This window comes from Homo sapiens, chromosome 1, assembly GCF_000001405.40.
Source record: "Homo sapiens chromosome 1, GRCh38.p14 Primary Assembly".
Classification (NCBI taxonomy): Eukaryota; Metazoa; Chordata; class Mammalia; order Primates; family Hominidae; genus Homo; species Homo sapiens.
Window position 1 is genome coordinate 214,365,387 of NC_000001.11, and position 17,559 is coordinate 214,382,945.

A 17,559-nucleotide genomic window follows, 5' to 3' on the forward strand; every position below is an offset into this window, starting at 1 on the left:
CAAAAGAAAAATCACAGGATTCCAAGCCTTAATGACTTTTTCACAACCATGACAAAAGAGAAAAGTATGGAAATGTAATCCTCAGACACTCCAAAAACCCCCAAAATGTAATTAATAATTTAGATTTTGTAGTAGCTCAGGACAGAAACAGGTTTAAAGGTTCTTGATACTCAGTGAACCTCATCCTAAGGCAAAAGTGTAAACCAGACTATAGGGGAAATGTTTACATTGTTGAAGAGAAAAAAGTAGGTTTGAACCATTCAAATAATTTCAAAGCACCTGTTTACAGACATATATAAATAATCCATACTTTCCTTTATAAACTTATCTAATTACAAAATAATCTGAAGTGCTTTACCAAAAAACCAAACTATTATTATCACTACTACTACTACTACGATGATGATGACTAGTAGTAGTTATTAGTACTAGTCATAGCAGTACTACTAGTAGTAGTAATGTACAATGAGATAGGACAAAATAAAAAAGAAAGAAGGGCTGGGCTCAGTGGCTCATGCCTATAATCCCAGCACTTTAGGAGGCTGAGGTGGGCGGATCACCTGAGGTCAGGAGTTTGAGACCAGCCTGACCAAGATGATGAAACCCTGTCTCTACTAAAAATACAAAAATCAGTCGGATGTGGTGGCACGAGCCTGTAATCCCAGCTAGTAATTCCAGCTACTCAGGAGGCTGAGACAGGAGAATTGCTTAAAAACTGGAGGCGGAGGTTGCAGTGAGCCAAGATCCCGCCACTGCACCCCAGCCTGGGCACCAAGAGCAAAACTCCGCCTCAATTAAAAAAAGAAAAAGAAAAGGAGATGCCGTGAGATGCATAGAGGGAGTAGTTACTATTAGGTACCAATACAAGCTAGATATTGTGTGTGGAATCTTCTTTACAATTTTTCTGCGAGGGGGAAAAGACATTAGGCAACTGAGTATTCTATCTGACCAAAGGCAATATTTACATACAAGAGACAAAGCTTTACTTGAGCTAAATTTAAGAAGAAAAATAAAAGGAATGTTGGGTAATACGGTAGATGCCACTTTCAAATAGAGCTTTTCATGTAATGGAGAGAAGGTGGATTCAAAGGATGTTTCCTCTATCAGTCATACTAATAAAGTTCCTTACGCTGTAACTCAATAAAGACTTCTGGCGGGCAGTAAACAATTTGGCTCAGGTACTCTGCATCCAGGTAATCTAATTTAAACATGGGCAAAAATCTTTTAAAACCTAGGAGAAACAGATTCAACATTTCTAATGCCCTGCACAGAATACGTGTATTGACTTTCCTAAAAGCATAATACATACATTTACATTCTTTAAAAATACTATGTATTGGCCGGGCGCGGTGGCTCACGCTTGTAATCCCAGCACTTTGGGAGGCCGAGGCAGGCGGATCACGAGGTCAGGAGATGGAGACCCCGTCTCTACTAAAAATACAAAAAATTAGCCAGGCGTGGTGGTGGGCGCCTGTAGTCCCAGCTACTCGGAGAGGCTGAGGCAGGAGAATGGCGTGAACTCGGGAGGCGGAGTTTGCAGTGAGCCGAGATCTTGCCACTGTACTCCAGCCTGGGTGACAGAGTGAGACTCCATCTCAAAAAAAAAAAAAAAAATACTATGTCTTTTTTGGTAATTTAGACAGGCTTTCCTTAATTGGTTCTGATTTAAAAGACTATACTTTAAAGTGCCTTATAAGCTCACTCTTTCATCAGAGCTGTTAGCCAATCAACAAACTGATCTATTTATATTATTTCCCTTTTTTGCTTCTTGGAGAAAATTTTAATAAGTCAATTAGCACGTGATCAGGTGAAAGAAATACAATGAGCACTGTTAGGAGGAAAAGAAGTTCTGTAAAGGTCACTGCCCTTATTTCAAGCTACAGATAACAAGCCATTTGACTTCAGGCAAATCACGAGTCCTCTCTGGATCTTACTCTAGATTCTCTGACTCCAATCATCCTTCTACTCTCTGCTTTCAGTGCCAAACCCCTCAAGTACCATCGTCACTTTCAAGGAAATGAAATGCTTGTATTGCTGGATAAGTACACATCGGAATATTTATTGGAACTTGTAAATCAGTATTTTTAGGTCTTGAGAACCTGTTCTCTCCCTCTGTCATTCCCCTTTTCTCCCATTCTAAATGAATACCAAAATAAAATCAAGGTTTTGACATGATCCAACATCTGGATCATGGTCCCTCCATGGTGGTCACAGGTCTTCCACTAGCTGGAGAGTCAACAACAGAGCAGGCACAAGGCTACAGGGAGCATCTGGGGCTCCTTTCCAGGTGGGTGAGTAAAGAACGGGGTCTCCTGACAAGCACAGGACAGTTAGATGAGCATGTGGAAAGCAAGAGGGAGAGCTGCAGCCACCGCTGAAAAGCAGAGGAGGGTATCAGATCTCATCTTTGGACGATGATGACTGGCCTGTCTTTCCCATTAGGCTCTGAGTACGTCGGAAGTGAAGACTGAACTCAGTGTCATCTCTGCATTCTCAGAGCCCGATCCAGTGCCTGGCACGTAGTGGGTACATGCCCAATTTTGGGTCTTTCAAATAAAAATACTGCACATAATCTGGTGAATTAGTTTCTAATATAACCACATTCTAAAAGTACACATACACAGAAATTAATGAATTAGCCATTGAGCAAATTTCAGTTTCAAAAACTACAAGAGGGTTTCAATACTTCTTAGTGTCTTCATAAAAATATGAGAAAGTACGAGAAAGTACTGAGATGCTCAACTGTAGGGAAATATAGGTCTTGTGAGATGCAAACCTTCATGAAAACAATTTTTTTAATGTTATTCGTTTTTATTTATTTATTTATTTATTTATTTTTGAGATGGAGTTTTGCTCTTGTTGCCCAGACTGAAGTGCAATGATGCAATCTTGGTTCACTCCGCCTCCCAGGTTCAAGCAATTTTCCTGCCTCAGCCTCTCCAGTAGCTGGGATTACAGACATGCGCCACCACACCTGGCTAATTTTGTATTTTTAGTAGAGATGGGGTTTCACCATGTTGGCCACGCTGGTCTCAAACTCCTCACCTCGGGTGATCCGCCCACCTCGGCCTCCCAAAGTGCTGGGATTATAGGTGTGAGCCACCATGCCCGGCCTATTTTTAAGTTTTATTTCTCCTTTTTTTTAAAATGTGCTAAAGTGGACACAACATAAAACTTACCAGTTTAACCATTTTTAAGTACACAGTTCAGTGGCATTAAGCATAGTCATAGTTGTGCAACCATCACCATCATCCATGTCCAGTACTTTTTCCCTGTCCCAAACAGAAATGTTGCACCCATCAAATGTAATTCCTGGCTGGGCACAGTGGCTCACACCTGTAATCCCTGCAATTTGGGAGGCTGATGCGGGCAGATCACTTGAGACCAGGAGTTCAAGACTAGCCTGGCGAACATGGTGAAACCTCATCTCCACTAAAAATACAAAAATTAGCTAGATGTGGTGGCTGTGCCTATAGTCCCAGCTACTTGGGAGGCTGAGGCAGGAGAATTGCTTGAATCTGAGAGGCGGAGGTTGCAGTGAGCTGAGATTGTGCCACTGCACTCCAGCCTGGGTGACAGAGCGAGACTCCGCCTCAGAAAAAAATTTGTAATTTCCCAATCCCCCTTTGCCCCAGCCCCTGGTAACCTCTCACCTACTTTCTGTCTCTGACCTTGCCTATTCTAGGAACCTCATATAAGTGGAATCACATAGTTTTTGTCCTTTTGTGACTGGATTATTTCCACTCAGCATCATTCCTCAAAGTTCATCCTTGTTGTAACATGTGTCAGAATAGTTACTGATTAAATGAGTAGCTAAAGGTCTGAATCAAGGTAGAGCCAATATGTTGATCACAGTCTTAGCTTACGTGCATGAAAGGTAAACAGAATAAGTGACATGTATTATTATACTCTGTTCTACATAGTAAGAAAGGAATATATATTTCAATATTATAATACTTTTGCCACTTAAGAGAAAGCATCCTCTTTTTCCATTTCATCTCCAACAGATGAATTATTGACACAGATCATAAAAGTCAGTCAGGTAGCAGACTGGGAAGAAAAACACTTACATAAAAATCCTTGGACATCTTCTGGACAGCCGTGATCTGGCCAGTCAGTATATTGTAAATGCCACACCGTCCTTTCTTGCCCAGACAAAAGGTGCTTGACCTTCAAGCCCGTGGTTGCATAGCAAACAGAATCCGTTCGAAACTTCGTGGTGACCTTGAACTTGCCATAGGTGGCTGAGCTGTGCTTTGAACCTAGTTTGGGCCAGTATCGGTGGCTTTTGGTTCGTCCACCCTCCTAAATCACATATAAAAGCAAAATTGGAAATAGGTCAAGGGAAGCTCTCATCCTTTTAATCCTAAGATATGAAGACAGAAGAAAATGCAAATAGCTTCTAAATCGCTAGTTCAGTAGCACTCTGCAGTGTCTACCACAGGGTAGATCCTATACATGCTAGTTAAGACCAATAACACAATTTACAATGACAGTTACATCAATGGAAAATTTAAAAGATTCACAACCGAGGTGCAGTAGAATGTTAGAGAGAAGTGCAAGTGCAGTCTAGAAGCAGGAACAAGCTTCGTGCATTCAAGAAACAAAGGTCAGCCGGGCGTGGCGGCTCACGCCTGTAATCGCAGCACTTTGGGAGGCCAAGGCGCGTGGATCACAAGGTCAGGAGATCGAGACCATCCTGGCTAACATGGTGAAACCCCATCTCTACTAAAAATACAAACAATTAGCCAGGCGCGGTGGCGGGTGCCTGTAGTCCCAGCTGCTGGGGAGGCTGAGGCAGGAGAATGGCATAAACCCGGGAGGCGGAGCTTGCAGTGAGCCAAGATCACGCCACTGCACCCCAGCCTGGGCAACAGAGGGGAGATTCCATCTCAAAAAAAAAAAAAAAAGAAAAAAGAAACGAAGGTCTTCGGGGTGGCTGGAGTGTGACATGTGAGGGGCCAGGCGATCAGAGAGGAGACTGGAAAGGCCTCACAGTCCATGGTGGAAAGTTTGGATTTCATCCCATGGGCACGGGAAGTCATTCAAAGGTTTTAAACAAGGCGGGAAGGGGTTCCAGCAATCGCTGTAGGTCACGTTACTCCTTTCGGATGTTCAGCGCACAGCTCTTTCTGTTACAGCACACTGACTACCGATGCTGTCTTTATCTAGTGTCGATTTCACATTTGTTTCAGCCTGACCAATGCGTTTTAGTTCAATCTACAACTAGAACTGAGAACAGCTGCTTACATCACCATTCTTTCTCCCTTGATTTTATAAACTTTTCTGAGAATATGTATTCTCAACCATTTACACAAGGTCTATGTTTCAGCTTTGCACCGTTTTAAAATCTCTGGAGAAGGGGCGGAGTGTGGAGGAGGTGGTAGCTGAGGAGATTCAGGGCAAGGAGTAGGTGGTGAGAGAGAAGGAGCACTGAACACATACAGCTGCAGTGGTGACAGGCTCTGGGAACCCTGATGGCTGTTTACAGGAACATTAGAGTTCCTCTTGTAAAGCCCACTTGTAAAGCAACACATCTTTGCGGAATATGTAAATTACCTTGCCTGGCTTCATTTGGTTTAATTGAGTCTCCTTAAATTGGAAGCATACCTTCCTCTTTTATTTACCAATCCTGTGAAAGCAGATTTACCTCGAATTTACATTTCTGCTGAGTGTCTAAATCAGTTATGGATTTTAAAAGACTATAAGTCCCCAGCTGTCCCACAGATTACTAGATGCTACTTTGTCTTGGCAAGGCTGGCTCCTTGTCACTCCGGTCTCACCTCCAATGCCACTCCCTCAGAGGGTCCTTGGCCACCCCCCTGATCTAAAGTAGACCCCAGTCACTCTCTTTCTTAACCCTTTTTCCATTTTTAAAAATTTTCTCCCTTGAATTTATGCTACTATTAATAAGGTTTTTACTTCCAGCCTTCCAGCAAGTGTGCAACATGATACAGAGCCTGGAGCTCAGGGTTGCACATCGTGAAGCCACCCTTTAGTAGGAGTCCCCTAGCGTGAATGACAGTTTTGCAGCTGAAACCCACACAAAGAGGAGGAGGGATGAGGCAGGAGGACCTGTACTCACCCAGACCCACTCTGGACTATAGTTTTCCATTTCTGCCACGGCACTTACTGCTATCTGCACTGATTTTATCTGTTCACTTTTGAATGTCCCTCCCACTAGGACATAAGCTCTATGGGGACAGGGATGGTGCCTGTCTCGTTTACCGTGTACTCCTGAAGTTAGCACAGATGGTATGCTGTATTTAGGTGAATGAATGCCTTGCAATGGTGTGAGCTGATAAGGTGATAAATCTATTCTAGAAGCTTTAAGGAGGATTCATTCTCTTTGTGGGAAGGTCAAACAGGTCAGCCCAGGGAAGTACAACTGGCTTTAAAGAGCCTGATGTCCCTTTCATTATTTTCTTCTAATGGACTGTGCTGAGAAGCAAATGCTCAACACAGTCAATGAAGGAAAATATGACTTTTTCCTCCCCAATTTTCTTTGTTCCTGACCCCTTTAACATAGCTAGGAAAGGCCACTGCAATACCATGGATATTGGTAAACACACATGAAACTAGTCCCTTGAATGATTTCAAAACATAAATTGGAATTTAATGAAAGAAATAAAAGAAGGTGGTTAAAGAAATTTTGAGAATGTGACAAGAGAAGAAATACAACACTTCTCCCCACAAAGACAGCAAGCTCAACACCGACTGGATTGACTGGCAGTGTAGGCTGGTTTTTTATAACATCACATAGAGTTCTCTAGTTACAGCAGAAAAACTATGTTTGGCTTGGCAAAAGAAGAAAAAGATATTTTTTCTTCCCCCAAAGAACAGAGGACTCTCCAGGAACAACGGCTTCTGGTCTCTTTTCAGCTGATAAGGATGATGGCATGTGGAGCTGGGTGCCTGGAGTTGGGCGTCTATGTCGATTTGCCCAGAGCAGCCTGAGACTCCCAAATTCCAGTGGAAAGATCACTGTTTTCGTTTGGCACAGAAAGTCAGCAGGTTGAACTAAAGTCTGTCATTTTTGGTTTTCTGTTGTTTTATTTTCAGTTTAGTGCATTACAATCCAAGGAAAAGAGTTAAAAGCCAGATGAAAATGGGAGGAGGAAAAGCTACAACAATCAATTATCTCCAGGGGAAAAAATATCTATCTGGAAGTAAGAAAACAGATGTATACCAAAGAGAAAAGCATGTGCAGAGAAACAGCACTGCAGGAAGAAGGATAGGGTAGCAAAGTTGACAGCACAAAGCCCATCTTCTGGCCACCCTTTCCCCTGGGGAAAAAGGATGTGGAGTAGGCCATTCCCCTTACCTCCTCTGCAGTGACCATGGCAATCACATTCACTCCCTGCTCCCACACCATCTGCCAGAAGTCGTGGCACGTGTGTGGCAGGGGCCCCTGGGTGGCTATGTAGTGCCATTCTGCCCCGCCAACCACCACCTAAAAACCAAGAAAAGTATCGGTAAATAAACCCCAAGTCCGGACAACATTACCTGCTGATCACCTGTCCATCTGTATCCACCTTAAAACCTTGGATATATTTTTGGGGCCGAATGAATTAGTTCAATGAACAAAAACCCTGAGACTACAGAGGCTAGTGTAGTGACACATTCTCACATGAAAATACTTTTTGCCACTCAAGCCTATTAAATATTTATCTAATCCTGGTTTTTGAGACTGAGTCTTGCTCTGCTGCTTAGGCGGGAGTACAGTGGCACGATCTTGGCTCACTGCAACCTCCGCCTCCTGGGTTCAAGCAATTCTCCCGTCTCAGAATCCCAAGGAGCTGGGATTACAGGCACTCGCCATCATGCCCGGCTAATTTTTGTATTTTTGTAGAGATGGCGTTTCACCACATTGGCCAGGCTGGTCTTGAACTCCTGACTTCAGGTGATACGCCCATCTCAGCCTCCCAAAGTGCTGGGATTACAGGCCTGAGCCACCAGGCTTGGCCTTTACCTGATCTTTGTTTGCAACTCACAGTATATGCAAACTAGTGCCTATTAAAAACCATACACATACACACATGTATAGATGCATATATATGAACATGTATAACTTAGGATTTACTTGTTACAGAAATAATAGTTACTGCTTACTATGTGCAATGTACTCTAACACTTTCCATTCTTTTCTCTTTTCTAGTCGATTTCATTGAAACACACACACACACACACACACACACACACACACACACACACACACACACCTGGTCATGACCACTAAACTGATTTCACATTCTACCACTGTGTTGTAATCCAGTTTGAAAAGCAGTGCTTCATGGCATCCAATTAAACAATAAAAAAAAAAAAAAAGATCATGAAACAACATCCCTTTTGGAGCACTATCTTTCTCCTGTGGATCTGAGATGAAGTGTATCATAAACCTCTGCTGTCACTGCTGCTCTGTGGTGCCATGCACGGCAGAGATGCTACGAATGCTCTTGTCAACAGCATATATTTTATCAATAGCTTCACCTTGGTAGTACCACAGCATCCAACTGAACTACAGTCATGACATGACTTTGGATAATAAAATTATTACCCCTGCAGCTCAGGGTGATCAGGGGAAGATAATTCTACAGCTATAAATACTAGCTGCTGAGAACCATAAATAAGAAGTTGTACCCAAAGTGTTAAAGGTCATGCTGTCAAGGTGAAATGGTGGCCTTTGGAGGAATTCTTTCTGTTCTCCCTTCCAGGTCTGTGCCTTGATATTGCAAAGTCAGGTCCCTTCTACATCTATACAATGCAGATCTCTGGAGAGTTCAAAAAGTAATGAAGTAATCATTGTTTGAAACTTTTTCCCCTCATTTATTTGATAAAACTGTATGCTAACTTGGTTCAAACAAAAACAATGTAAGTTATTGTCTCATTACACAAGGCATGTTTAGGTCAAAGCTGGCAAGAAAAATCCATTTTCCAAATACTGGTGGGAGATAACATTCATATATTTGCTGGCTAGGAGTTTGGTTTATCCGTGGAATTGTGATTTTAAACATTAGCCTCTCTGGCACCCAACGTATAGGAAACATAAATACTTCCAGAGAATGCTGCTGCTGCCTGGGGCCTTTCAGTATATTCCAAGTATTGACAGAAGGGTATTAAAAACTGCATTAAAAACACAACAAGCAGTGCTGCTGAGGTAGATTTCACACATGTGATTCCACCTCTGGAGCAAATAAATCTCTGTTCTGTGTTAACGGCTGCTTGGAACCCAGGGGGGAAAACACTGGCAAAATATACTCCTCTATTCCAAAACACAGGGACAAGTTCTTGCAAGGTCCACGGGTCTATGAAATGCACCCATGTCTAACCCGGATCCACAGGATGAAATGTGGGCCACAGAGAATACCAAGGAAGGGAATGCTCCTCGGTTAACAATGCCCGATGGGCACAGTTTATACAAAGTGACAGCTTTTTTCAGAGAGCAGATGGAAAATAGTGGAAGAGATCTGGCCAAAAGAAGAAGATAATATAATATTTCTATGTAAGATTTTCATAGACACTCTATCAGGAAGCAGCTGTGTGATCTGCATCTTTGTTGGAATACATTACTTTGGTCATTGTTTCATAATGTAAACTAAGCCCATGAAACCCACCACTGACAGTTTATTTAAGAGTTTCCTAGAGTTCACTTTTTACTTCTCACTCTCAAAAATCCAAGTTAAAATTAGTAATATGATCTATGATAGTTACTCTTTTATATTTCTTTTGACAGTACTTTCTAATTATTAAAAACTATGGTTATCTGTGTATATTAATAAAAATAGTATATACCCAACCATACTATACTTTTCCCATTCTGTATCAAAACTAGTTATAATTGATACACAAGCTAGATATCTAACTCGCCTTTTACAGGCTTAAAAAAACCTGTTAATAATTCTGCTACAGTTGAAAAGTCCAATGAGGAAAGTAAGTAATTCTAGACAAGGCCGAAAACAGGTTTCTAAGGCTATTGATCACAGTGGACTATCAATTGAACCTTGTGTTATTTAACAACACCTATAACACTGGCTTTAACATTAATAGATGAACAAATCTCCCACTTCAGAGTTCAGAGCAAATGGTGACATTCTAAATAAGTGTCCCTCTGTTAACAGGGACTCTGAGGAAGGTAAGCTATTTAAGAAACATTTAACTACAGGTACACATGTATCCATAAGTCAAAGTTTTAACTGCAGAAGTGCTAAACTATGTAATACTGACATATAAAGGTTTGAAGTATTTGAAATAACAACAAAAATTTAGTAACACAAATTCATTGACTAATGTGGCAAATCTTTCAAGATTCAATATTAACCACACTTTTATAGTGTAGGTGAAAATTACTCCACTCTTCTAAATACCATGCAATAATAGGACTCGCGCTTTTATAAAATGCATAACCTGCAGTATTATAAGGGAAAAACAATAGTTTCTATTGTTATTGAACATGACACTTTTATGTCAGTAACGCAATACCTGTAACTTCCAAAGTCTCCAGCACCTGCTAATTACAAACTGAAAAGGATAATCTGAGTATAGAGAGAGTTACAGCCCACAGAGAGAAGGAAAAGTTAAAGCCTCTGTAATGAGCGAGCTTCAGAAATCGCTGACCTGAAGTTCTTCCTGAGGCTGCTAGACTTCCTTCTCTCTGCAGTGATAGACATGCCCTTCCACTTGACTAAGAAAAGCACAGGAGTTCAAAAACAATCCCTGAGGGTCTGGGGACAAGCCAAAAGGTACAACTGCAGCCCACACATTTTCTTCTCCCCGCATTTTTCCCTTTAACCCAGCCATCTTTACCAAACCTTCTAACAGGCTTGCCTTCTTACCTTGATGTGGGAGGCATTAATGTATCCTGTGTTATTTTCTTTGGTTGGTATCAGCTCTACTCGATTCTCCTCATAGGGGACAACTTCACGGATTCGGCTGCGCTCGGCGTTTTCTGGCAGAGCTGCTGTGCTGAAAATGCCATTCGCCTTTTTCTTTGGAATTTGCTCATATTCTGTGAACACCATTCCCTCTTCTAGTTTCTTCTTCAGGGTTCTGAACTGCAACAGAAATTGATCTTCAGCTCTCTAAATTATCTGATCCAAAAACTCAATGAAACAACCAAATTTCTTTAAATATTTAGCGATTGTGTTAAAAGAGATTTCAAGTTCTACAATCAATGCTTGGTTTGTCTCATTATCAACCATATTGATATTTTCCCTTGTCTAATAACCATTTTCCTTCTTACTCATATTATAAGTAGAACAAATCTGCAAGAACTAGCAAGAGTTGAAATTCAAAAATCAATATTTTTGCTATTAACAACTCTGTTTAAAGTCCTAATGATAAAGAGACTGTTAATCTTAATTATCCAAACATCCTTTCCTCCACCTATATAGCTGTTTTTAAGATGATACTGGTCCACAGTTCTATAGCTCTGAGGATTAAATCACTCTCTTTTTTCCTCCTTCCTGGCCAAACTACTAATTCCAATAACATGGTATTAATTGGGTTAAATGATTTCTCTGAAGTCCCTTCTGGCTTTAAAAACATTCTAATTCTGGATACATACTGGCAGAAATCGAACACCCTGGTGTTATTAGTACTTTATTACATTTATACAACCTGTTTCTTAACCTTCTGACAGCAATTTCGGGAACTAAGGATCCACCTTTCTTCGCTTCTGAAACACTACCATGCAGCTGCTTTCTGCTTTTCAAAACCCATGTTGTCACAATGCATTATCCAGACAATTATAAATCAGCCTCATTTTATGGTCATACGAGGGGACAGCATTTTTAAAGAACTCTATAAATGCTTGGATACAAGGTCATGTCTTTTGCGGGAGACATGGATGGAGCTGGAGGCTATTATCCTTAGCAAACTAAAGCAGAAACAGAAAACCAAATACTGCATGTTGTCACTTATAAGTGGGAGCTAAATGATAAGAATTTATGAACACAAAGAAGGAAACAACAGACACTGGGGCCTACCTGAGGGTGGAGGGTGGAAGGAGGGAGAGGAGCAGAGAGGATAACCATGGGGTACTGGGCTTAATACCTGGGTGATGAAATAATACGTACAACAAACCCCTGTGACATGTGTTTACCTATGTAATAAACCTTCACATGTGCCCCCAAAACTAAAATAAAAGTTTAAAAAAATTAAAAATAAAAATAAATGCTTGGATAAAATAATCACTTCCTAAGAAGTGGCAATTGCTCACAAAAATCACAGAAATTCAGAGCTACTGCAAGTGTTTAACTTGTGCATTTTACAAAACAGGAAGTGGGCCCAAAGAAATTGAGTGACTTGACCAAGTCATACAGCATGTTAGGGGCTGATGGTTTTAGTCAACCAATGATCTGCCAACCGGACAAAGCAGGAAGACCGGAATGGAGAAACATGAGATGCTGAAAGGGACTGATTTAATGCAACACAGTTATACCTGATCTTCCTAATCTCAGATTGAAGAAAGAATGCATCACACAAATCTCAATGCTGGCATATTCGGGCAAGGAGGGTGTTTTGGGATCCTAAGACTACAGAGAATGAGTCACATTGACAAGCCTGCCACTTACCCTCTCGTCCATGGGAACCCGGGTGGCATCAACTCGATTCTCTTCCCGCCCTGAGACTCGAGCCACCGAGAGCCCATTCAATGCTGCCAACATCAGCGGCCTCTTCTGTGCCTCCAGGCCTGCCATCTTCTGCTTCTCTAGATTCTTGCGGCAAGAAAAGGCATGTGCTCATTGTTTATAATACTAGTAGAATGTTGGAATGTGTTTTAATCTCCTCAAATCTGTAACTCCCCAGCCAAGGAATGCAGACAATCACCATCAGTAGGGCAAATTCAAACACAGCCTTCCCACTATTCCCACTGGGCCCCTGGAAGCCAGTTCCTACAGGACTCCTGAGCTTTTATTCTTAATTAACTCCTTAGCTAGATAGACCAATAAATAAGAAAAAAGACTCCCTACAAATACACCCTGCCATAGGGCAAAACAAAACAAAACAAAAACAAAATAGGGTACATGCGATACACTTTAGAAAGGTAAAGATGACAGGACAAGGAAAAGAGAAACAGGGTTATATGAACCATCTAATCCAATCACAGTGACGGACCTTCTGCACAGACGGAACGGAGCAAAACTTGTAAAACAGTTTGTTGTTGATTGAGAGATCCACACACATAAACTGTAGAGGAAAATCTTCCTAAGTTTCCGTCCTGAGGGGCTAATGCTGAGGACGTTAATTCTATAATTAATCTCTGATCCTTGGAATACCTAAGGGTGTGTCATCCCCAGAATTGAGAGCTGATGTGGTTTAGCAAACTCACTAACAGCAAAGCCTGGCTGGGGTCACCTAAGATGATCCGCAGGCATCACCCTCCAGGCTTCACCCAGAGGGCCCACAGTAACAGAGACGGTGCCTCCCAACACAAATGGTGGGACATCACTGCATGCCACTGAGCTATGGGGGAACATGGACTCCGGAACTGAGCAGACCACTTAGGGAAAGGTTTTGATGTTTACACCTGGTCCTGGTTTGTGGCTTTTTGATTTCCATCCTCTCTGCCCTCACCTCTAAATTGAAATTGGATTGGGCAGGGCTGGTTTTTAGCCTCCTGCTGTGCTTCCTCAGGTCCTTGAAACTAACCGAGTATGAAAAAGCTCTCTTTATGCTCACTTCAAGCAAGCCACGAAGGGCCTTTCCTAAAATTAAGTGTGTCTTTGAAGTTAAGGGAAGAACACAGGCATTCCTCATAGAAGCAGATGAGTTTTGCAGGGTTTAGGATTTTGATTCACAATGAAGGGCAACCAATTTGCAGATTCATTTGACTGACACAGATGAAGAGCCATTGAATCCTTGGTTTCTTTTCAAGCCTTGAGAGACTTTTTTCCTTATTCTATGATGTATAAATTCACTCCCCAGGAAGAGGTCTTGACGGAGCCATCCCACAGGGTTATGAATTATTCTAATTGCGGGTGGGAGGACTGCATGACGCCCTTCCATGTGTCTCCACAATGTCACCTACAATCAGAATGAAGCCTGTGTGAGTGACACTGACAACAGGATGCCTATCCTGGTGGCAGCCGACTCATCAGACAAACCAAAGGAGTATCTCAGAGGAGGTTACTGGGAGAAAGTGAGAAAAGCACTGTGAAAGGAAAATATCTTGGGCCCCAAATCACTAAGCTAAAAGGAAAAGTCAAGCTGGGCACTGCTTGGGCAAACCTGCCTCCCATTCTATTCAAAGTCACCCCTCTGCTCACTGAGATAAATGCATATCTGATTGCCTCCTTTGGAGAGGCTAATCAGAAACAAAAGAATGCAACCATTTGCCTCTCACCTACCTGTGACGTGGAAGCCCCCTCCCTACTTCAAGTCTTCCTGCCTTTGCTTCAAGTTGTCCTGCCTTTCCAGACAGAAACAATATTGACTGATGTCTCATGTCTCCCTAAAATGTATAAAACCAAGCCATGCCCCGACCACCTTGGGCACATGTCATCAGGACCTCCTGAGGCTGTGTGACAGGTGTGTACCCTCAACCTTGGCAGAATAAACTTTCTACATTAACTGAGACCTGTCTCAGATTTTCTGGGTTTACAGTACCCAAGGACTTACCACCAAAAGATATAATATTCTTACAAATGACCCTGGTCTCTCAATTCTCGGGAACCCCCTGGGGGAAGATTCTGGATTAAAATTTTTAGGTCTTTGTTTGCTTGCTGCTAGTTTTGGGGAGAAAGAGTTTTTCTTTCTTTTTTTTTATTTCTGCCACCTCTTTCACTTGGGAATCTATTTTCACTGCTCTCCAAAGTTTTGAGAAGGCAATAGTCCTGAAAAATGGGTCCTGAGCTCCTCTCAGCAGTCCTGCTTTCTTTCCACCTGCACTGTAAGGTGACCCTAACTGGGTCTAAGACAAAAAGTAATTAACTTGTCTTTCTCGGGAAAGGATTATTACTCAGTGATAAATCAAAGTATGTCTCTTTGATCCTTCTCACTCACCCTATCAGCTTGTTACCAGAGATAAAAAAAATAATAATAATTCACAAGCTCTGATCTGTGATCAGAGGGCCTTTTCTTCTCAGTGCATCAACTTCTGGCTAGGGGACTACAAGCAGGGAAGTATCTTCAAGGAAGCAGTAGGAGCCAGAATGAGAAGCTATAAAAGCGGCGGAACCATCCATCAAACAGACAAGCAGCTCCAGGAGAGCTGCCCAGAGGGCAAATTCTCACCATACCTGCACACCCCGCCAGCCCCTGAGTTTTCTTTTGCTAAAAGTTTCTCATTGTGTTCTGATCAAGAGGGCCCTTAGAATGGCCATCACCTCTCATGAATTCCCATCAAGCTGGCAAAAGCTGCCCATAGTGAGGAGAGCAGAGAAGTATCTGACCTGTGGGGATGTTGCTTAGGCTATGGGGTGAGTTTTTGCATTAAAAACAAAACAGATGGAGACTCATCTTGGGCTCAAAGCCACTGGCATTGTCACCACCTTGCCTGGCCTCCTGGCTCACTGAAGCAGCTCCTAATCCAACTCTAAGGTCTGCCGGTGTCCTTGAGCTCCTGAGTGTAGCAGATTTGGGGGAAAAAAAAATCAACAGGGAAAATGAAGTAGAAATGGGGTAATTATTTTCTTGAACTAAAGGTTAATGGCTAAAATTTGCTAGTCATTATTACCCACATGAATGGAATGGAAAAGCATCTGGAGAAAAAACAATAGTGAAAATCTCCTTGTTCCTTTGTGATAATGCAAGGAGCTCTAAGGAGGAGACCCATGCCAAGATTTTGGCTACAGGCTATTTGTTTAATACGAGTAACAAGAGAAGAGGATGAATACAACCAAAATGAGGTTATGGGACCATGTGGACATCATTAAGTATCAAGTTGGCAGGGGAAATAGCTAAATTAAATGCTTAGACTGATAGGTTCTTGATGCTAATGTTGCTTTTAAGTGGTCTGGAAGAAGTATTGAAAAATCATTTTCTACCAATAAATTGCTTTATTCCATGCTGGGAAAGCTCTCTCCCAACAGCACCTACCCATTTCTTCCATTCCAAGCCAAAGGTTTTCTTTGCTAGAGGCAAAGGTACACCTTGCACAATTTCCTTCTAGGTTTGCAAAAAGTCATATCTGTATAAAAATCTCTTAGCACTACTCTAGTGGGGCTGGCCAGAACTGTGAGGTTGAGAATGTTCTTAAGGTTTTCCAAAAGTAACAAGGTTGCTACAGATTCAATTTCTGACCCCAGGAACTTGGCTTCCTTAAAACTTTGGGCCTTGATTGTTCTTTTCAGGTTGAATCCCAGTGATGGGTTAGGAAGACCTGGAAATGAAGGTGGCCTAATGGAATCCATCAAAGCAAATTTTAAGTTACAACTGTTTCGGAGTTCCTAAAATTAGGCTTGGCTACCTTATGGTGCAGCCATGGTGAATGAAGAGAAGTCAATCTGGCTTTGATTAGTTCTAGTTAATAGGTTTTTTTTAAAGGAGTGAAAATGTTCATGGCAAGCAGCAATGGAGATTTTTTTTTGTTTTTCTGAGACGGGGTCTTGCTCTGTCATCCAGGCTGGAGTGCAGTGGTGCCATCTCGGCTCACAGCAACCTCCGCCTTGTGGGTTCAAGTGATTCTCCTGCCTCCCTCCTGAGTAACTGGGATTACAGGTGCACGCCACCACACACGGCTAATTTTTGTATTTTTAGTACTGATGGGGTTTCACCATGTTGGTCAGGCTGGTCTTGAACTCCTGACCTTGTGATCTGCCCACCTCGGCCTCCCAAAGTGCTGGGATTACAGGCGTGAGCCACAGTGCCCAGTCGAGATTTTTTAAAGTAGCTATAATCCAAACATTTTCTCATTAGTAAGAGCAGATTCACTTCGTTGTTCTATATGTGCCTGCATAGTCCTGTTCTGACAACTTAACTGTCTCCCCAAATTGTACAATATATTTTTTTAAAGCGATGAGGTTTAGTCCTGTCATCCAGGCTGGAGTGCAGTGGCAAAATCATAGGTCACTAAAGCCTTGAATTCCTGGGCTCAAGCGATCCTCCCACCTCAGCCTCCTGATTAGCTAGGACTACAGGCTCCTGCCATCATGTCTGGCTGGTTCTTTTTTTATTATTATTTTATTTTAGAGATAAGATCTCATTATACTGCCCAGGCTGGCTTCATACTCCTGGCTTCTAGTGCTCTTCCTACCTCAGCCTCCCAAGTAGCTGGGACTACAGGTGTCCCCCACCATACCTGGCTCTGTACATATTATGAAGAAGAGCTATTCATGTCTAGTACTAGGATGGATCTTCAAGTGGTAATATGTATGTATATATGTATGTGTGTATTCACGTATGTGTGTGAATTTTTGACAGAATAAGTTCAATGGAGAATTATTTATCCAATTACTAAGTTATATATCCAATTACTATAATTTTCTTGAATCTGTGTGAAACATCTATTGAAAGAAAATCTGAATACAAAGCTAGACATATCACAGTCCAGACAATACTGGTGAGTCTTGACTTACGGATCTATACAGAAGGCGGTATAGGGATGTTGCTCTTTAATAC

General features: G+C 41.9%; 1 protein-coding gene across 6 annotated transcripts in view, besides 3 other annotated features; it reads right to left on the reverse strand.

Moving 5' to 3' along the window:
- PTPN14 (protein tyrosine phosphatase non-receptor type 14) overlaps window positions 1-17,559 on the reverse strand; it is a 202,903-nt gene that overhangs the window by 16,687 nt on the left and 168,657 nt on the right. For all 6 annotated transcript variants that reach the window (NM_005401.5, XM_017001941.2, XM_024448759.2 and 3 more), the window contains 4 exons: window positions 12,573-12,716; window positions 10,833-11,051; window positions 7,325-7,453; window positions 4,071-4,305 (listed from right to left, as the gene is read on the reverse strand). In NM_005401.5, coding sequence (NP_005392.2) covers window positions 4,071-4,305; window positions 7,325-7,453; window positions 10,833-11,051; window positions 12,573-12,716 — 727 coding nt within the window. The remainder of the gene's footprint in view (window positions 1-4,070; window positions 4,306-7,324; window positions 7,454-10,832; window positions 11,052-12,572; window positions 12,717-17,559) is intronic.
- Window positions 4,291-4,791: an enhancer, noted in NCBI's record as "H3K4me1 hESC enhancer chr1:214543020-214543520 (GRCh37/hg19 assembly coordinates)". NCBI's record gives its function as "activates a minimal SCP1, AML or CMV promoter by ChIP-STARR-seq in naive H9 embryonic stem cells {active_cell/tissue: H9 hESC(naive)}" and the evidence as "EXISTENCE:reporter gene assay evidence [ECO:0000049][PMID:30033119]".
- Window positions 14,946-15,447: an enhancer, noted in NCBI's record as "NANOG-H3K27ac hESC enhancer chr1:214553675-214554176 (GRCh37/hg19 assembly coordinates)". NCBI's record gives its function as "activates a minimal SCP1, AML or CMV promoter by ChIP-STARR-seq in naive and primed H9 embryonic stem cells {active_cell/tissue: H9 hESC(naive and primed)}" and the evidence as "EXISTENCE:reporter gene assay evidence [ECO:0000049][PMID:30033119]".
- Window positions 15,448-15,947: an enhancer, noted in NCBI's record as "NANOG-H3K27ac hESC enhancer chr1:214554177-214554676 (GRCh37/hg19 assembly coordinates)". NCBI's record gives its function as "activates a minimal SCP1, AML or CMV promoter by ChIP-STARR-seq in primed H9 embryonic stem cells {active_cell/tissue: H9 hESC(primed)}" and the evidence as "EXISTENCE:reporter gene assay evidence [ECO:0000049][PMID:30033119]".